At 35.4% G+C, this 22,565-nt stretch overlaps 1 long non-coding RNA gene across 2 annotated transcripts in view; it reads right to left on the bottom strand.

The window, feature by feature from the left end:
• Positions 1-22,565, bottom strand: part of LOC105371657 (uncharacterized) — a 453,818-nt gene that overhangs the window by 285,453 nt on the left and 145,800 nt on the right. For both annotated transcript variants that reach the window (XR_002958413.2, XR_001738343.2), the window contains exon 3: positions 10,250-10,399. This is a non-coding gene — a long non-coding RNA (uncharacterized LOC105371657). The remainder of the gene's footprint in view (positions 1-10,249; positions 10,400-22,565) is intronic.

Here is a 22,565-nt window from a genome sequence, read left to right as displayed (position 1 = left end):
TGGCCATTCTTTCCATGTACTTGTGTCTTTGTTAATTTATCTCATCCATATATAGTTCAGGGTGCAAATCTTTCACCTCCTTGGCTAAATGTATTTCTTAGTATTTTATTATTTTTGTAGCATTTTAAATCAAACTGGTTTGTTGATTTCCTTTTCAGGAAGTATGTAATTAGTATACAGAAAAGCAACTGATTTCTGTATGTTGGTGTTGTATCTTGCAACTTTACAAAATGTGTTTGTTAGTTCTAACAGTTTTTGTATGTGTGTGTGTAGAGGTGTGTCTTTAGGGATTCCTATGTATAAGATCAACTCATATGTAAATAGCAATAATTTCTCTGTCCATTCTCATTTCAATGTCTTCTATTTATTATACTTTTGTCCAATTCTTCTTGCTGGGACTTCAAGTACTATGATGACGAGAAATGCAGAGTGTCTTGTCTTGTTCCTGATCTTGTAGGAAAAGCTTTTAGCTTTTTATCATTGAGTATGATGTTAGCTGTGGGCTTGTCATGCATGGCCTTTATTACATTGAGGTGCATTACTTCTATGTCTACTTTCTTGAGCATCTTTACATGTATCATCAGAAGATGTTGAACCTGTCAGAATTTTTTCTTGCATCTATTGAGATGACAATATTATTTGTATCCTTCATTCTGTTAATGTGCTGAATCACATGTATTGATTTGCATATATTGAACAATTCTTGCAACCCAAGAATAAATCTCACTTACCCCTTGGGTATAATCTTTTTAATGTGTTGTTCAATTTGGGTTACTAGTATTTTGCTGAGGATTTTTGTATCTGAGTTCATTGGGGATGCTGGCCTATGATTATCCTTCATCGTGGTGTCTTTATCTGGCTTTGGTTTAAAAGTGATGTTGGCTTCATAAGATGAATTTGCATGTTTTCCCTTCTCTTTCATTTTACAGAAGAGTTTGAGAAGGATGGCTTAATTTTTTTAGGACTACCTATGGAAGCACAGTCAGGTGTGCCTCCTGCTGGGCCCCTGAGTAGGCAGGACTTCCCTGGACCATGGCTGGAAGGACCTAGAACTGGGTTACAGGGTTGTTTCAAGATCAGCCATGGGACCAAGGTCAGGGATCAGCTTCTGGGGATCTGTGAGAGCATGTTTCCAGGCTTGTGCGTGGGCAGGCAAAATTATTCCCAAGCTGTGGCTGGTAGGGGCTGGAGCTGGGTTATAAGGTTGATGCAATATCTGTAGTTGAACTGAGGTCAGTGGGCCTATATCCATAGACATAGACAAGTTTTTTCTGGTGGGTCCTTAGGTGGGTAGGACAGTCCTAACCCACAGCTGAGAGGGGCTCAAACTGAGTTACAGTGCCACTTCAGTATCCGCAGTCAGATCCGCCTCTGTGGGCATGGATTTTAAATATCTCCCAGCAGATCCCTGGATGGACAGAACTATTCCCAGATCATGGCCAGGAGGGGCTGAAGCCAGGCCATGGGTTGTTTTTTGGTCTATAGCTGAGACTGAGTTTGACAGATCTGGTAGCTGAGGCATAGGTGGGCCTGACTCTGCCCAGGTCTCTTGGTGGAGGGTGCAGGTTGCAGGACAGTGGTCAAACAGGGTTATAACTGCTTTTATCCAGAGATGTCTGCAAAAGTACTGTTGTAAGGAAATGCAAGTTGGGAAATATGGGGTTTTAGCATATTATAAATTAGAAATTAATTGGTGACAATAGCCAGTTGCCCCTAGAAATTTATGTAGCTTTTTTTTTTATTGACAGAGAGTTTTTTGCTTTTTTTTTTTCATTTTCAGCTGAGCTTTTGAGTATTCTGTGGTATCTCATGTCCTAAAGAGGTTGCAGCTGGTTGTACCCATTATGAAAGGAAAACAAAAAACTGGGACTCCAATTCACTATGTGAAAGGGAAAAGTTAAACTGGAAGCTGTTGTCACAGAAGAAACTGCCTTTCCTTTTGTTCCTACATGGATAGCTACAGAAAAAAAAAATGTTTCCACAGGAAGCTACTCTATGTTGATTTTATCTTACATGAAGTACAGACCGAGCAAGAGTCAAATACATATTGACTATTCCTCTACTGTCTCCTTTTAATGTGCAACATATGGATTCAGTAATGTGACCATACCCTTCCTCCAGCTCACTCTTTCTCTTTTAGTATTGAAGGCCTCAAAAACCTCTTTGGAAAAAGCATGGATCACAGATTGTTCTTGTGGTTTTGTGTTCCTTTTTCCAAGACATATCCTTAACCTTGGATAAATAAATCTCTAAATTGATCAGATGCAATTGGTTCTCACCACTGAAATTTTGATGGGAAGTCTTTACAGCCTCATTCAGCTGTGCTTTTAAGAGAATGAGGGAATCTGTCAGAGGACTCTGTTTAGTTTGGTTAAAAGCCAAAGGTCATCAAATACTGAAAAAGAGTGGAGCCTTGGGTAAAGTTTTTTCAGTCCAAGTCAGCATTAGGGACTTGGAAAAAATACTGGCTGGGATTCACAGTATTCCTGATGTATGCAAGTTTATGTTAATTGTCTCCTTCTAAATGTAAATGCAAAGGGAAATTGTAAGTAGGGTACAATGGAACTAAAAAGAAAGCTGAGCAAAAGTTAATTATTATAAACCAGGTGCACCAGCAGGGACTGAGGTAAGAATGGTAGCTGGATTAAGGACTATGAAGTTGGGTAAATAGGAATTTCAAAAGAGTTTCTGGCTCTTAGATATCGTACAAATCAATAGATTTCATTCCCATCTGCATTAAATTCCTCTTCTTTCTTTAATGGTAAGATCGGGATGTTAGAGGGTAAAGAAATAAAGAATGCCCAGCTATAAAAGAGACCATATTATAGTTTCAATTCCTTCTTCTGCATCTTGAGAGAGGAGGTACAGGGCTACTGACGAGAAAGGCTTGTTCTTTTTCCAGGTAATGAGTACAAGTTCTGCCTTTAGTCACAATACAAACTTGTTTGTACCACGAGGCCCAGAGAACAGTTGGCATATTCTTAAAAATTGTATCATTTTCAGTGGATTTTATATTAAGATGAGTTTCCATTAGGAAAAGTAGGAAGTTTGAGAATTGGTCTGAGGGCAGGAAAATAAAACTCCTTTCTCATTACATTTTATGGTGGCATTCAATTTAATTAGCAAATCTCAACCTAAAAAAAATGCTGGTGAAGGGTAAGAAATTAGAAATGCATGATGAGAGTTAAGAGAGCCTAAGGATACTGGGGTGGCCCTGAGATGTTGACAATGAAGTAGGTTTCCAAGAAACTCCTACAGCATAAATAGAATTAGAGGCGACAGGCAGAGATACATCCTCTAAGAAAATGGTAGAGAAAGTCACACAAGTGTCCATTCAAAAATCCAGTTCCTAATCATCTTCTATAAGCTTACTAGTAGGTTCTGAGGGACAGCAGAGGATGGGTTAACTCTATCAATCTATGGGGTACTGTCACTCAGAAGGAGCAAAATAAGCCTTCTGAGTGTCTTGAAGTCTGGGGACATTATTATTTACGCTTTCCTTTCTCTTATATGCCAGACAGTTGTCCTTTTAATGTCCTGGTATTTTACAGTATCTACAAATATCAGGAGGCAAAGAGAAGGGTGAGTAGGGTTTAAGTTTTACCTGGAGTTTCACTTTTTTTTTTAACTCAATTTGCCAAGCAACTACTGTTGATTTTAATTATCTTTTCTTCTTATTTTTCTTGCAAGCTACTCTCAAAGAATAGTGTAACTGATTCCATAATAACATTGAGAGATTGACCTGTCCAGCCAATGTCATCTTGTATTTGCTTTTTTATATCAAGGAGAAAATTTCTAACCTGGGCAGAAATTAAAAGACTTCTGTGTTCTGCAGTTTCAGGGTTTAATGTATTATACCTTTGAAAAGTTCGTATAAAGCATTCTACAAAAGCCTTGGGCTGGTCTCTTTTCTTTTGAGTGCAAAATTCAACGTTAGACCAACTAACCTTAATGGAAAAGGCCTTTAGTATTGCTCCAATCAGCCCTGAATATCAGCTTCTAGCTGAGCCATTTCCTGATCATTTGAAGGAGGGCCTGGGAAAAATTCTGGCCATTTCTTTCTTCTGTTGGGAGGATCTTCCTCTGAAGACCATCTGGCTTGTCTGATAACCATAGTATAATAATAAGTGGGAAGAATTTTTCATAGGAGCCGACCAAGATCACTGTAAATACGATTGTGAATAGCCACTGACCTTCCTTATTCTTCTCTAAATTAGGTGAAATCTTCTGAAAGTGGGGCAAAAGGTGATTGTAATTTAAAAGACATGCTGCTGTCCAGGGGATATCAATTCTTTGTGGCAGGGGTCCAAGACTCATTTGGAGTGGGTATTGCATAAGGTCTGAAGGAGACAAAGTTTCTTTGCAGAGCCCCAGGAAGCAGGAGGAGTTGTAAGGTATTGTAAAGCTGGCTTCATGTACCTGGAGCCTGTGCCAGATTTATTTCTTAGCTGTTAACATTTACACAAGTGACCTGCATGGCTTGATCCTAGAGATCCGGTCATTGTGCCTTCTGTAAATTTCGAAGGGGAAGGGAAGTTAAAGTAGGCAGTTAGACATTTAAAATATTTTCTAGGGAACTTGGAGGAATTTTGAAGTTATAGGAATTTGCTGAGGAGGTGGGACCAGATTTTGAGAAAAGCAGGTTTAAGCCAGAGGCCCAGCAATCCAAAACAGCTACTACGGAGTCAGGGACAGGAAGCTGGGATAAAGGGGAACATGGGTGGGTGAAGAATGAAGATTTATAGTGGCTGTGAATTTTAACTTTTGTTCTAAGTTTGATTTTTGTTCTTTAGCCTTGTTAAGGGAGTCCCTAAGGTTAGCAATTATACTCTATGTGCCCTCTTTTCAATTTGATCTTTCTGTAAGTACCAGCAGGACAGTTGTGTAGAATGAGAGCTAATTTTTTTTTCCAAATATAGAAGTTTTCCCACTTCAAAGAATTCATTGTCTGGCCCTTGAAGCATAGAATTTTCAATGCCATAATTACTCCAATAGTCACCCAATTCAGTCGGGCTTTTTATGGAAAGATTCAGAGGTAATTTTTAAGGCTTAGAATAAATCTCTACCATGAACACAAGTGGCATTTGCCAAGTGGGTGCAGAAGATGCACCTCCAGGATCCAAAAGCTCACTCCCAGAGAGAGCCTAAGAAAGCAAAGAACTTTGTTGCCACAGGCAATAAGAATAGCATTTGTGAAGAAGGTATCGCTTATCTCCTATGGCACATGGGTGCCTCCAGTTAACAGATTCTCTAATCTGTGACACTAGGCAGGTACAACTCACATAAGGAGTTTGCAGGTAGCCATGGTTAGGACAATAAGTGGCCCTTATGGACTGGGACTTCTTATTAAGACAAACTCCCCTAAGATCTGGCATGATCAGACAAAGAAAATGCTGCTTGTCACTTTGTACCTCAGGTTCTCAGCCTGTTTGAATGGCTGTCAGATACAAGATGATATTTGCACTCCCTGGCTGGCAGAGATAAGAGAGGGTGTTCTCAATGGTCACAAAGCCAAGAACTCTGGACATAAAATAAGACCAAAAAATGAGCCTAATTAGTGGTGTGTGTATATCTCTCTGTGTGTTTTCCTTTGGAAAACCACACCAAATTTTGTCTAAACTGCTGTTAGTCTGGTGAGAACTGTGAATTCATCAGTCTGTAATTCTGGCTTGAAGGACAGTTTATAAGGACTTATACTTGTGTCATGCCCTGTGATTCTCCTCTTTATGAAAATTACACAAAACACAAGAGATGAAGGAAGACAAGGACCCTCTCCAGCAGGGAAAGGACCAATCAGAAAACAAGGTTACTCTACTTATAACACAAAACACCAGAGTCACTGTACCCAGAAAACTAGCTCATACGTATATTTTCTCCTGATAATCTAAATTAAGAAAGAGAAAAAAAAACAATGAGAGACTCTATCACTCTCTCTTTGATGGGCCCCTGCAGGCAGAGATCTTGGAGGCTGACATGGTAAGAATTCCTACTGCTGGCTTTTTGTCAGAGGCTCAGTATCTCCCAGTGGCAATACAATCGCAGAGTTAAGTATTGTTCCAGTCACTCTGAAAATCCCTTCTAGCCAGAAATTAGAGGAGCTAGAGTTCCTTTTTAGAGTTTCTTTTGTCTGGGCCTGAGAATTAAATTGACATAAGACAGATCAACAGGAGAAAAGCACACAAATTTATTTAACACACATTTTCTGTGGCATTGGGGCCTTCAGAAAGGAATGAAGACCCAAGGAAACAATTAGAGTCGGTTAGATACTGAATTAGACAAAGAGTAGTAAGCTGTGAAGAAGCAACTAACTTACGTGGGGAGGCTAAAAAATAAGAGTTATTCTAATAAAGTCTAGAATTCTAATAGTATTTTCTAAGTTGCAACTTCTCATCATTGAAGATAAGAATGTTGCCTTTTATTCCAGTCTGGGGAGCGTGTTTTTCACATGGGACTTTCATCTCCTGCTTTAGGAAACAGAAAATAGGCCAGAATGTTCTTTTTGCACCTGCTGTTCTTCAAGTGCCTTTAATTCATGATAGTTGATATGCCAAAGGTGGTATAATTTTAGCTCCTTCATTAGGGACTATATGTTTACAGAAAACTGTCCGTACATTAGATAATTTTACATTTTACATTTAAGTAATTTTACATTTAGTCATTTCTCTAAACTAAATTTTATGTTGTTTCTATTCTCAATCCCAAGCTGAATGGGATTTTTTTTTTCTCCGCTTATTTTGGGGACTACCTTTAAATATCTTATGCAATCGTATAACCATTTCTTACTTATGGAAAAGGAAAATACAAGATGACAAGATATGGTCATTGTACTCACTATTTTTGCTATTGATTCTTTAGATAAAATTGCTATTAAGTACTTGTTTCCATCATCTTATCTGGCTTAGTCATTTGTGTTAAAAGGGAGTTCAGATGCCCATCCAATCAGTTTTTCATGATGAAATTCTGTTTGTTATTCCATAGTTATTTTTCCATCAGTGGCTGTGTTTGCAAACGTGGGCCTGGCTTCTGAAAATGGTTCAAGCTTCCTAATAAATCTTCTGTGGTAATTTTTACAAACTTTCTCTTAAAGGTTCTGCTTTTTCCTCTCTAAACACTTGTCTCATTCTCCTGCTTTTTATTTAACCATTTGGCTGTATTATCTAAAGTGACTACAAAACAGCTAATATCCTTACTTTCTACCCTTGAACAGACAGAACATACATACGGAGTGTTGAGCTGTACCATCATCTTTACGAATAATAGCATCTTATAATTCCTGGCATAATATGGGGAAAATATATGCTAAAGTAAGTCATTTTTTACTAATAACTCATACAATTACTTCTGAATCTCTTGTGCTTGTGCTTGGTGCAATGTCCTGAGTTTACCCTGCCTGAAATATGGTATACTGTATCATTTCATAAAATGTCTTCCTACTGTGACATTTAACCGTTTCTTTAGTTTAAGTGCTGAGGTATCCCTTGGTAAATGGGTTCTTCTAGTTAAAAAAAAAAAAAAAAAAAACACTTGTTTCTGCCACTTCTTGCTCTTGTATGGAGATATCATACAATATTTTGTTTTCAAATCATATTTTGATTCAGAAAAATTTATTGATATTAACTGATTTATATTTCTGTTTAATCATTGCTGCATTTTAAAATATGAAACATTATATAGAGAATATATTTTGTGCAGTCTGTACATATATTTTCAGATTAAAGGAAACATTAATAAAACCAATTATGCAATTTTATCCAATGATATAAACTAGAATATTTTAGAACTCTCTCTCTTTCTGTGGAATGTCCCTAGTTGATCATATCTTCTGCCTTTACTATCAATAATCACCATTATGACTTTTACTTTTCCCTGCAGCTTTACCAAATATGTTATAATAGCTTACATAAAACATATAGTTTAGTTTTACCTGTTTTTGAACTTCATGTAAATTGAACCAAGTGTAATTATTATTTGTTAAATACCATGATTGGGCGGTTTATATATGTCCATTCATGTAGGTGTAATGTGTTTATTTTCAGTATTGAAAAGTATCTTAGTATGTCAATATAACACACACTTTTTTTGTTTTAATTTTTATGAGCATATGTGTAGTTTCTGGTTTAAAGATATCATAATCCAGGGGTCCTCAACCCGGGGGCCCCCTGTTAGGAACTGGGCCCCACAGCAGGAGGTAAGACGAGATGTGGGCTAGCTAGCATTACCGCCTGAGCTCCACCTCCTGTCAGATCAGCAGTGGCATTAGATTTTCATAGGAGTGTAACCACCACGGTGAACTGCATATATAAGGGATCTAGGTTGCACACTCTTTATGATAATCTAATGCTTGATGATCTGAGTTGGAACAATTTCATACCAAAACCATCTACCCTACTGCACTGCCACCCATGGAAAAATTGTCTTCCACAGAGCCTGTCCCTGGTGCCAAAAATGTTGGCAACCTTTGTTATAAACAATAAAGCTATAACATTCTTGTCCATGTATCCTGGGACATAGATGCACAATTACCCCTAAAGGTATAAAGGGGCATGGAATTATTTGGTCATACACGGTACACATTCAACAGAAAATTTCAAAATATTTCCACTCAGTTGTGCCAGTTCACAAACTCCACCCCTGCTGCCTCCTAGCCTCAACAAAACAGACAAATCTATGCACATGTAATGTTATTTCAGGTGTTTCTGATTTAACAGCTCTGTGTAGGTAAAACGTTTATCATTTTGGAAATGTTTATTGATCATTTAGGTTTCTTCTTTCATGCAGAACTTGTTAAAATCTTTTACATATTTTTCCTACTGGATTATATGTCTTCCTATTGACTTATAATAGTCGTTGTTATGTGGTAGATGTCTGTTTTAGTTTAATTTTTGTCAGTTGTATGCAGTGCAAATATATTTCCCATCTGTCGCAAGTTGTTTTTACTTTCTTGTCAGATACTTTTTATAAATAGCAATTCACAAAATAAATATATAAGATAAATTTTCTATCATTCTTTTTCAGTTTTGTTTATTCCCTTCCTGACATAATGAAAAAAATTTCCAATATTGTCTTACCAAATATTTACATTTGTTATTTCATATTTACATCTTTAATCAATCTGTAATTTAATTTTTTTGAAATGAAGTAAAACATTTTTTCATGTGGTTACATTGATGCTTCATTACCATTTATTGAAGATCTCTTTTTCCCTACTTCTATGCAGTCCTATTTCTTCCTTATGTCATAACTTCTTATTTGAGTGGCTTGTTTCTGGGATCTATGTTCTGTTACATTAATCTCATTTTATACATACTCTTCTTATTCTTCTTTTATCTTTGATTTATCTTGGAACTTTTGTCAGAAATCATACTTCTACACTAAAAGAAATAGTCCAAAAATATGACTTTTATTTTTGTCTTGTGACCCTTGTCTATTATCACTTTTTTTCTTTTCCACATGTATTTTAATGTCAGTAAATCCCAGAAAAGTATTCTTATGTAATCCTTTTACAAAATAGTTGTGCCAATTTATATTGACACTAATAAAAAATGAGTTTATGTTGCCACACACCTGCAACAAAATACACAAACCTGCGTATGTGTTTTGATATTTCAGCACAATGCAAGTTGCATTTCCTTGAAAAGAAAAAGGATTTTGTTGAATGTGCATTCCAACTTCAGAAATAATTTCCAAATTCAAATATATAAATATGATACAACTCACCATTTACTTAAATCTTTTTAAAATGCATCAATAACACCTCAAAATATTACCCAAAACATGTTAATCACGGTTAATTCAAAATTTTGAGGACTACTTCCATAACATAAATACATCTATTTAAAATTTAAAATTTAAAATTAGGTGAGTTCTGACAAACATAGACACTTGTATAACCAACACCACAACAAAAATATACAGTATTTTCCTCACCTCTAAAAGTATACTCCAGTCACTTGGAATGTAACCCACTTCTACGAATACACCGATATGCTGGTTCTAGAGTGTTATATTAATGGAATTATTAAAAAAAACATATTTTCTTGAGTCTGCTTTCTTTTGTTCAACCTCATATTCTCAAAATTTGTTTTAAAACCTGTGCATATGCTCCATGACTTACAGTGGGGTTGTAAATAAACTGAATAAACCCATCATAAATTGAAAATACTCGAAATCCAAAACACATTTAACACACCTAACATTCCAAGTATCACAGCTTATCCTAGCCAACCTTAAAAATGCTCAGAATACTTACATGTACCTACTGTTGAACAAAATCGACTGGCAACATAGGACACTGTCAAGAATCGGTTGTTTATTCTTGGGATCGCATTGCTGACTGGGAGCTGCGGCTCACTGCCATGGTCCAACGTCACAAAAGAGTATTATATCACATATCACTAGCCTAGAAAAATCAAAATTCAAAATTTAAATTATAATTTCTACTTTTGCACCATCATAAAGTAAAAAAAAAATTCTAAGATTAAAGAAAGAATCTTAAGTTGAATCATCATAAGTCAGGGGCAAATTATGCCGTGCATTTCTATTTAGATTATTCCTTCAAAGTTGTCAGTGCTTGATTTAGTTAGCTTATTTTGTGGAATTAAGTTATAATTTTATCTACTTTGGCCAACTTAATTTTACCATTGTAATTAATTCTGGAAAATTGCAGTAGTTGCTTCCTGTAGTAGTTTCTTCTAATGGGAAATCTATTGTAATTGCTTCTACTGTAAAATTAACTCTACTGCAATTACTTCTACTTCTATTGGAAAATAAGGTGCTTTTATGTTATGCAAATAACAAAATATTATGTTAAAAATTTATGTTCTCAAAATTTTGAATTAAAATGGTTCCTTTGTTTCATTTCCTTGTAAAATTATTATAACTGATGTGGACCAAATTATTTTCTAATACACATATTTAAATGGAATATGGACTGTATTACCCAGGAGTAAGTAATAGGAAGTTGCTGAGGAATGAGGTAGAGACTTAGGACAAGAAAGTGGTGGGATAACATTTCAAGTTTGAGAGCAAGATAGCAAAGGGCCTAAAATACGGCCACTCTGTGTAATCTGTGTAATATCTTTTCTTCCGGATCGACTGTTATATCAGAATACATTCGAAATCTATATGTTTTCATAAATATTGACTTCTGTGATATTACAGTTACTCTAAAAATAAGTTTTATTGAGTTAAAATTCTACATAGAATAAAAAGGACTCCTTTAGAATGTATAATTTAATGATCTTTGACATGTGGCTGCATTCATGTGATTTTGCTAAACTTCCTTATTAATTCTCATAGGAATTTTTTATTGTCTTTAATATTTTCTACATTGATGAGCATGTTATCTGCAAACAACGATTATTTTATGTCTTCTCTTGTAATATATTTCTTTTTCTCTTGTCTTATCTTGGTTTCTGGGACCACCAGTATAACAGTAAATAAAACTGAGATGAAAGATAACAAGCTTTGGTGAGAATGTGAAGAAATGGGAACTCTTGTACACTGTTGGTGGGAATGTAAATTAGTACATCCACTATGAAAAATGATGTGGAGGTTCCAAATATATATATACACACACATACATAACTAAGAATATAATTCCTATACAAGCCAGCAATCCCACTTTTGGGTATAGATCCAGAAGAATTGAAATTGAGGTGTCAGAGGGATATCTGTGCTCCTTGCTCATTGCAGCGTCATTTACAATATCCAAGATATAAAATAAACCTATGTTCATTAACAGATGAATAAATAAAGACAGTGCGGTATACATAAATAAAAGACTATTATTCAGCCTTTCAAAAAATAGGAAATAGGAGTTACTGCCACTTGCAATAACATGGATGAACCTGGAAGACATTATGCTAAGAAATAAGCCAGGCACATAAAGCCAAATATCACATGATCTCACGTGTATGTGGAATCTAAAAATGTTAAACTCATAGAAGTAAAGAGTAGAATGATGGTTACCAGAGGCTGAGGATGGGGGGGAAGAAAAGAATGGGAAGTTGTTGGTCGAAGGGTACGAGGTTTTAGTGAGCAAAGACAAATAAGTTTTGAGATCCACTGTAGAGCACGTTGATTGTAGTCAACAATAATCTACTGGATACTTCAAAATAACTAAGATAGTAAATTTCAAATGTCTTATTACAAAAAGTTATAAGTTAATGAATATGTTCATTAGCTTAATTTAATCATTTCACATTTTATACATATATCAAAACTAGCATTGTGCCCCATAAATATATACAATTATGATTTGTCAATTTATACATATATAATTGTCAAAATTGTCAATTTATATATGTATTTATATTATATATATATTCCCCTGGAATATGTTATGCAGCTCTTGTCAGTAGCATGTATGCAGTGAAAAATTTTCAGTTGAGATAACCAGATGATCAGGAGGGGAAAGAATAATATTTTGTGAAGCAGGTTATTGTTAAGAATGCTTTCTGGAAAAACAAGAGGATACAAATGTTTTTATGGTGTGAAAAAGGAAATGACAGACCTAAATACACTTCTTTATACTGTGTAGCCAGGTTTATTTCCAAGAGTATTAATGTGACATGAAGATAGCAGGAATAAGAATAAACCAGGCATAGGAAGAGGGGCAAGACATCTGCGTGTAGTGACAGATCAGCTATTTAGATTGAGAAGAGAAAGGGATTTACCTACAGAATGGAGTTTGTCTTTGAAATGACTGGCACCATGCTGATAAAATTATTAACATGGTTGCAACACTGTAAGTGCTAGAACGAACAAATGTATTCATAAATAGGAAAAATTGACCTAAACCTAATTCTAAAAAATTATTTGAATAAATTAGGCAGATCCCATAGAAAGTACTGTTGCTGGAGCTAAGAACTACTGTTCCCTGCAAAAGTTCACATTGTTAAATATGTGACTCTGAATTGCTTCCGAGGCTGAAGAAATAGAAAATAAAATAAAGATCTAATAATTTGATGGGCAGAACAAAGATGTGAGAGCTGGTAGGTAAATTATTTGTGTAGGAATTACTGATAATTATCTAAATTTTAGTAAGTAGCTTTCAAAAATGTTTTAAGGAGAAACTTATAAAGCATTTGGTTTGTATTTGTGCATGAATTTTAGAGTGACAGATTTTGAAAGGAATGGCTAGCAGAACAATTCTAGTCTTTGCTTGGATATGACTTTCACCATAAACAACAAATCTCTTCTTCTGGTGAGGGAATGAATTATAAGTGACTTTGGGACACAGGTAATAGTGTGAACCAACGCAGGTACTTTCTTGATCATTAAAAAGAAGTATGTGCCATTAAGAAGTTAAAATAGATCATATAACACTCATTATTTGGTGATGTTTCTGTCATAAATTACTAGTTTCATAATGTAACTTAATTGATTTTAATGACACTCATGATATCAGTGATTACACATATTACATAACTGCACAACGTTACCTATAGATTGCTTTTTTTTCTGGCATGAGACATTAGCTGTGCCAACTTAAATCATACTGTGGAGTCTTAATTTAGTTTCGAATTAAATCTATTGAAAAATGTTTAGAACATGTTTTTTTTTTATTACAAAGAAGGCAAGCTGCAATTAAAATTCTACACTGATATTCAGAGTGTCACTGAGGCCAAGTAGCATTCTACCCTTTTTGCACAAGCTGTATGATATGTTTTTGTTCTTTACTATGAACTGTAAGTCTTGCTTTTATTCCCACAGCAATGTCTGAACTCCAATTACTGGGAAGTAAATGGATTCTGTATTATAATTGCCTAACTTTGTGAAACTGGGACACTGGTAATCTTTCAACAAAGGAAGAAATATGGAACTGACATTTTGAGGAGAAAAATAGGTCTTGATATTGTGGGAAAGAGTAAAAAATTACAGACGAAAAATGCAGCAGCCTAATGCGTGAATCGTGGTTATTATGAAAGAAGTGCCTTCCATTGTTCTTCTTCCAGGAGTATCATATAGAGTTGATTCTCACGAACTGAGTAGTTTTCTGCAGTGTCTTAGAGAATTAAATATATTACTCTAACAAAGCAGTTTAATATTGGAGAGAAAATTGGAGGCAAAATAAGACTCAAGTTAAGACAGGCCAAACCCTAAAGAGTTGAGATGGAGAAAATTTTATAAGGTGAAAACTGAATGAAGTAGATGAAGAATACCTGTTTGGGAAAACTTTTATGATGTACAAAGCTTTTACAAATCTATTATCTAATTTGACCATTACAAAGCCAGTGAAGTAGGAAGAACTTGTATTTTATTACTCTACAATCAGGGAGAATTGTATTAATTTGCTATAAAGTCCAGAGAGGTTAAGTGGTTTTTCAGCTCTAATACACATAGTTAATTGCAGCACCAAGTCTACCTTGCTTATATAACTTCAACGTATATCCTTAGTTTTGTATCATCATATTTGAATGGTCTTAATATTTAATGAAGTCAAAATTCCTATTTATAAAGTGTTTTATGACCTAATCCTGTATCTAGCGAAATCGTGTGTGTGTGTGTGAATCTCACTTTCATAAAATTTGAAAAAATAATTCAAAGATAATTTTTCTCTGCCAGTTTATTATTATTAGTTGCAGAGGAACAGTATTAAAACTATTATTACTATTTTTTAATTTTCTTCACAAACAGACTTTTCTGAAGAAATAAAGTAGTGAAATATAAAAGCAGTGTCACTAGATTGGCTATCCATTAGAAATTATGTAGCTCAAAGTATAGTATTCCTTAAAATATTCACCTTGAAAGTCTATATATTAATTCAATAATATTTATTTGCTCAAAACAATTTTAGAATTTATCTATTGCTTACACTATTTTCAAATGATGTAGTATAATATATCTTAATTATTTTTCTTCTTCTCTAGACTTATTGCTGAATAATATTTGCATATTGCCCTAAAATGCAAGTGACAATTTTTCCATAATTACAATAATTACTAAAATTGAATTCAAAATTCTGTAGGGGTTATTTTCTGGAGGGATTTCAAAAATAATTTTAATTATATAATATTACCTTAACAGTTCTGTGGTATGCTTTGTAGGATTCTTTCAGTAAGTGTAATGGTTTTGACATGGATGACAAATTAGTACTTCATGTAAACAGTTCTAATGAGAAAATGGCAAATAAATATATAAGGATTGTGTGTGTGCATGAGTGGCTATAAAGAGCTGTTTCTGTTCTCATACATGACTGCAAAGTTTGGCCGATTGTAGTTATATTTAGAGTCTGATTATTAAGTAACTCTTTTAACACCTGCATCAGATATACCACTAGCTCAATAGTATCCCTTCCTTTAAGGATTCAAGAATACAGCAAATATTTCTTGGTAAGTTCAATTGTCCCTCTTTTAAAATATAAAATAATTGAAACTTTCTATAACCAAGGAAAGGGGATAAGGGAAGAAGTGGAAAAGTAACGTTGGTATAATGGAGCATCTTCTTTTCTTGAAACAGACAAACAAAAAATAGAAAAGAAAAAACATATTCTAAAAGCCTTCTGTATTAAAATATGCATGTCTCAATTTCATAGGTAATTATTTCAACTCTAATGTACTCTATATAAATATAACATTTATTTGCTAATGAATAAGCATGTATTGATAAACTGTTTATAAAATAAAAGATAAAATATATTTTGATATGTTATTAAGAATAATCAAATAATTGTACACTTTGTGATCTATAAACTTAAGAATATTTAAATATATTGTAAAAAATTAGACTTCTTTTAAAGAAAATATTACAAATACTAATTTGGGAAACACACACAGAATATAAAGTAAAAAAAAAATTGTTTTGAGAATGCGGAGAAAACCTCCAAGGGAATTAAAAGTACATAGAAGAGAGAGTTATATTGACTTAAAGAGTAGTGATTCTAGGAATCCAGTAAACTGGGTAACTTCTCATCAATTAGATAAAAATACACTAGACTTAAATCAACAAGAACCAATGCCTCAAAACTGGGTAATCCCATATTCAAGCTGGACTCTGATAATCTGAACTACACCTTACTCTTCACTTTGACACTGTTTTGCTATTCCACTGTTTTTATTAATATTTCTTTTCTCTTCTAAGAATGTCCTGCCCTAGCAGTGATTCTACGGCTCCTTACAGGAACTTCTTGAGAAACCATCAACTTTTTAATGTAAAGTGTCAATAAATGGATTACACCCTAAGATTATTTTAATACTTCTCTCAAAGTCCTCCTCTTGCTGTTTCTATCACTTCTGAAGTATTGTATTCAATTCTTACCTAATCCTGATCGCCACATTGAAAAACCTGCCTTAAACCAAACTTAAAATTCTTAATTAATTCTGATATTTTTCCTATAGACACCACCAAAGCTTTGTGAGGTTGTATTTTCCCTTAAGCAAAAATCTCAGCTTTATCCTATTAACAGGTTGTGTTGCTATTTGATTAGCCAGATTTCCACACTGTACATGAAAAAAGAAATTCTTATATTATTTTCTCCCAGCTTTTGATTTTGATTGAACGATATTTTTGAAGTCACACTTATTCCTTTCTACTCTTAGTAATTACATATGGAAATGCATAGAACCTACCAAGTTCATTCATGTAAACCCCAACTGAAATAAAAATAAAATGAAACAAACTAATATTCGTAGCATTGTAACTGAGTGCAGGCTTGGCTGCTCACTGCTTGCAAAGCCAATAAAAAGTACAAAGTGCAGTGAAGGGACAGTGACTTTATTTCCACAGCGAGCAGTGGGGAAATACTTGAGGCTTGTGCCCTAATGGAACTATTTCAGCTATTTGGGTCAAGGACAAGGGTTTAAGAAAGGGAGCATCGTCTGATAACCATGCAGGAGTGATAAAGGGGTGCCAATCTATATGACTTGTTCCAATGACTATCTTGAGCTGTTGCCCCATCTGATGAATCGGCTGGCATCATCCTGGGTGCAGCTGTGCTGTAAATTAAATGTAGCCTTGAAGTAATCCCTAGGTGGGGAGACAGGATACCATAATGGCCTGAATTGTTTCAAGATTTAATATCTGGAACTTCTAAACAACCACACAATTAGACAGGAGAAACAGTGTACAAGGGTGGGCCTGGAGGAAAGAAGGAAAACAAAGACTATTCTGTCATTATTAAAGGCAAGACAAGGAATGGTCAGAAAAGAAAAAGACAGAGAAAAAGAACTTTTTGAAAACAAGACACTCTGTTACAGCAGTGTGTATTTATTTAAATAACTTTCCCTCCCACCCTCCCTCCTCTCCTCCCTCCCTCCCTGTATCCCTATCTCTCTCTCTCTCTCTCTCTCTCTCTCTCTGTCTCTCTCTCTCCATGTGCATGTGCATGCGCATATATGTATGTATGTATGTATGTATGTATGTATGTATGTATGTAGTGTGTGTTTGTAGATAGATAGATAGACAGATTTCTGAAAAACTGAGGGGCAATCCATGTGGATATCTAACGAAGTATCTTCTTTACTTATTTATTTATTTATTTATTTTTATTATACTTTAAGTTTTAGGGCACATGTACACAATGTGCAGGTTTGTTACATATGTATACATGTGCCATGTTGGTGTGCTGCACCCATTAACACGTCATTAACATTAGGTATATCACCTAATGCTATTCCTCCCTGCTTCCCCCACCCCACAACAGGCCCCGGTGTGTGATGTTCTCCTTCCTGTGTCCATGTGTTCTCATTGTTCAATTCCCAGCTATGAGTGAGAACAAGTGGTGTTTGGTTTTTTGTCCTTGTGATAGTTTGCTGAGAATGATGGTTTCCAGCTTCATCCATGTCCCTACAAAGGACATGGACTCATCATTTTTTATGGCTGCACAGTATTCCATGGTGTATATGTGTCACATTTTCTTAATCCAGTCTATCATTGTTGGACATTTGGGTTGGTTCCAAGTCTTTGCTATTGTGAATAGTGCCACAATAAACATATGTGTGCATGTGTCTTTATAGCAGCATGATTTGTAATCCTTTGGTTATATACCCAGTAATGGGATGGCTGGGTCAAATGGTATTTCTAGTTCTACACCACTGAGGAATCGCCACACTGACTTCCACAATGGTTGAACTAGCTTACAGTCCCACCAACAGTGTAAAAGTGTTCCTATTTCTCCACATCCTCTCCAGCACCTGTTGTTTCCTGACTTTTTAATGATCACCATTCTAACTGGTGTGAGATGGTATCTCATTGTGGTTTTGATTGGCATTTCTCTGATGGCCAGTGATAATGAGCATTTTTTCATGTGTCTTTTGGCTGCATAAATGTCTTCTTTTGAGAAGTGTCTGTTCATATCCTTCGCTCCCACCAGGCCTGCCCTAAAAGAGCTCCTGAAGGAAGCACTAAACATGGAAAGGAACAACCAGTACCAGCCACTGCAAAAACATGCCAAATTGTAAAGCCCATCGAGGCTAGGGAGAAACTGCATCAACTAACGAGCAAAATAACCAGCTAACATCATAATGACAGGATCAAATTCACACATAACAATATTAGCCATAAATGTAAATGGGCTAAATGCTCCAATTAAAAGACACAGACTGGCAAATTGGATAAACAGTCAAGACCCATCAGTGTGCTATATTCAGGAAACCCATCTCACATGCAGAGACACACATAGACTCAAAATAAAGGGATGGAGGAAGATCTACCAAGCAAATGGAAAACGAAAAAAGGCAGGGGTTGCAATCCTAGTCTCTGATAAAACAGACTTTAAACCAACAAAGATCAAAAGAGACAAAGAAGGCCATTACATAATGGTAAAGGGATCAATTCAACAAGAAGAGCTAACTATCCTAAATATATATGCACCCAATACAGGAGCACCCAGATTCATAAAGCAAGTCCTTAGAGAGCTACAAAGAGACTTAGACTCCCACACGATAATAATGGGAGACTTTAACACCCCACTGTCAACATTAGACAGATCAATGAGACAGAAAGTTAACAAGGATATCCAGGAATTGAACTAAGCTCTGAACCAAGTAGACCTAATAGACGTCTACAGAACTCTCCACCCCAAACCAACAGAATACACATTCTTTTCAGCACCACACCACACCTATTCCAAAATTGACCACATAGTTGGAAGTAAAGCACTCCTCAGCAAATGTAAAAGAATAGAAATTATAACAAACTGTCTCTCAGACCATAATGCAATCAAACTAGAACTCAGGGTTAAGAATCTCACTCAAAACCACCCAACTACATGGAAACTGAACAGCCTGCCTCCTGAATGGCTACTGGGTACATAACGAAATGAAGGCAGAAATAAAGATGTTATTTGAAACCAACGAGAACAAAGACACAACATACCAGAATCTCTGGGGCACATTCAAACAGTGTGTAGAGGGAAATTTATAGCACTAAATGCCCACAAGAGAAAGCACGAAAGATCTAAAATTGACACCCTAACATCACAATTAACAGAACTAGAAAAGCAAGAGCAAACACATTCAAAAGCTAGCAGAAGGCAAGAAATAACTAAGATCAGAGCAGAACTGAAGGAAATAGAGACACAAAAAACCCTTCAAAAAAATCAATGAATCCAGGAGCTGGTTTTTTAAAAAGATCAACAAAACTGATAGACCGCTAGCAAGACTCATAAAGAAGAAAAGAGAGAAGAATCAAATAGACACAATAAAAAATGATAAAGGGGATATCACCACCGATCCCACAGAAATACAAACTACCATCAGAGAATACTATAAACACCTCTATGCAAATAAACTAGAAAATCTAGAAGAAATGGATAAATTCCTCGACACAGACACCCTCCCAAGACTAAACCAGGAAGAAGGTGAATCTCTGAATAGATCAGTAACAGGCTCTGAAATTGAGGCAATAATTAATAGCTTACCAACCAAATACAGTCCAGGACCAGAAGGATTCACAGCCAAATTCTCCCAGAGGTACAAAGAGGAGCTGGTACCATTCCTTCTGAACCTATTCCAATCAATAGAAAAAGAGGGAATCCTCCCTAACTCATTTTATGAGGCCAGCATCATCCTGATACCAAAGCCGGGCAGAGACACAACAAAAAAAGAGAATTTTAGACCAATATCCCTGATGAACATCGATGCAAAAATCCTCAATAAAATACTGGCAAACCGAATCCAGCAGCATATCAAAAAGCTTATCCACCATGATCAAGTGGGCTTCATCCCTGGGATGCAAGGCTGGTTCAACATATGCAAATCAATAAACATAATCCAGCATATAAACAGAACCAAGGACAAAAACCACGTGATTATCTCAATAGACGCACAAAAGGCCTTTGACAAAATTCAACAATGCTTCATGCTAAAAACTCTCAATAAATTAGGTATTGATGGGACGTATTTCAAAATAATAAGAGGTATCTATGACAAACCCACAGCCAATATCATACTGAATGGGCAAAAATTGGAAGATTCCCTTTGAAAACTGGCAAAAGACAGGGATGCCCTCTCTCACCACTCCTATTCAACATAGTGTTGGAAGTTCTGGCCAGGGCAATCAGGCAGCAGAAGGAAATAAAGGGTATTCAATTAGGAAAAGAGGAAGTCAAATTGTCCCTGTTTGCAGATGACATGATTGTATACCTAGAAGACGCCATCGTCTCAGCCCAAAATCTCCTTAAGCTGATAAGCAACTTCAGCAAAGTCTCAGGATGAAGCGTCTTCTAAGCAAAGTAAAAACAATCTGCATGAGAGCATATCTAATAGGCTCAAGGAGGACAGTGCATCAAAACTGGATTCTTGGAAACAGTGGTAGCAGACTGCATCAGAATAGTGGTGTTAGGTGAGAATTAAGTTTATCATGTAGTGGGCATTTTAGTCTTTGCAAAAAAAAAAAAAATTTCTCTAAGTGACCTGGGTAGCTGCTTCAAACTTTTGAAAAGACAGTAATGTTCAAGAGGTTTAAAAAATTCACATTAGCCATTGTGTTGAGAGTGAACTATAGAGAAGAGGGCAGAGATGAGAGGTCCGGGGGACTATCACAAAAATCTAAGGTGACAGATAGTGGTAATGATGATCAGGTTGTAAAGGAAGAAGTGACATTTTCTACACATAATTTAAAGGTAGAAGGAATAGTATTTAGTGACAGTCAGAAGTGCATGTAAGTGATCCAGAAGAATGATTTTAGACTGTGGCTTGAACTGACATTAACTATGCTGAGATTTCTGTAGGGGAGCTATTTTCACATGAGAAGACCAGACCACGATTTTTGTTTAGGACTTGTTAGATTTGGGCTTAATACAAGTGAAGATGTTAAGAGGGCATTATATATAGGAGTTTGCATTTTAATGAGAAAATCACCTTACAAATGGCTTTTAAGCCCATGCAATACTATATGTTACTACTAGAGAAAGTTCTGATTAAGAAGTAGTCCTGGAACACTCAGACTTTTATGTGTCAAGAGACTAAGAGAAACCAGCTAAGAGAAACTTAGACACTTACAACATCCAACGCAACATAAATATAACTAAGATGCAATGGGGTGCAAGTAAGAACAAATAGTTCCCAGTAAAGGAATATTGCAGCAAGATCAAGTAATATGAAGACTGAGTCTTAGCTATGGAAACAGCAGCTTGGAGGTAAGCGTTTAACTTGAAAAAAATGTATTTTGGCAAGAGCTAGATTTAACTAGCGTCAATAGAAAAATGAAGAAGATGAATCAAAATAATAGATGCAGACATAATCTTATTTTGAGGTGTTTTGCTGAAAAGTCATGCGCATGAATGAGAAAAAATTCTCCATCAGCTTGACATTTTCAGACCATCAAATTTCATTACCCTCCAATCTCTGTCATTTTTCTTAACCACACATTATACAGACTCTCCTATTATCTATTTGGTTTGATTATTTATTCTCAAATTTCTGTGTTTTCTATTTCATGACTTACCCTATAACTATCCCTCTCCTTCTCCATTTCTCTGAAATTCTACAACCCCAAGTCAATGGTACACAAATACCCCTCCTTCCCTAGTCTAATGACAAATTGTCTGTCCACTTCCTGAAATCAATTGAGACTAAGCTCTCTAATACTGCTACTGCCCCTAAGCTTTTTAAAATAAAAGCTACATATTTTCTTAGGTTCTAGATGTAATGTCACTCTTATGTCAGAGTTCAATGACACTTCTATATCAAAATTTCTGCATTACACATGTATATAATATAAATATATTATCTTTAGCCATTAGACAATACCACTGTCTGAACCTCCTAATTTCCATCATCAATGATTGTTTTTTGGTCATTCTCTACCTTTATTAAAAATGTTAGTTTAGTTCTCACAGTGTTAATTTTTATTACATGTGACATGAACATAAATATGTGTTCCACAACACATGCTTATGTCTATTCTCCTTCTCTTCCTTCTTCTTCTTCTTTTCTTCCTTTCTTCTTCTTCCAGATAACCCTTCCCTACGGGAAAGTAATTGCACATGTTCTGATGAAGCCCAATATGCTACATCACCAATTAAGTGTAAATTACAATTTTCAAACTCTATTTAAAATTGTCTTATAATCTAAGCCTAGGTAATTCAAACTCTCTTATTTTCTACAGATATTTGGGACTAC

This window comes from Homo sapiens, chromosome 1 (genome assembly GCF_000001405.40).
Source record: "Homo sapiens chromosome 1, GRCh38.p14 Primary Assembly".
Lineage (NCBI taxonomy): Eukaryota > Metazoa > Chordata > Mammalia > Primates > Hominidae > Homo > Homo sapiens.
The sequence above is the reverse complement of the archived record's forward strand: the minus strand, read 5'-3'. Positions and strand labels throughout refer to the sequence as shown.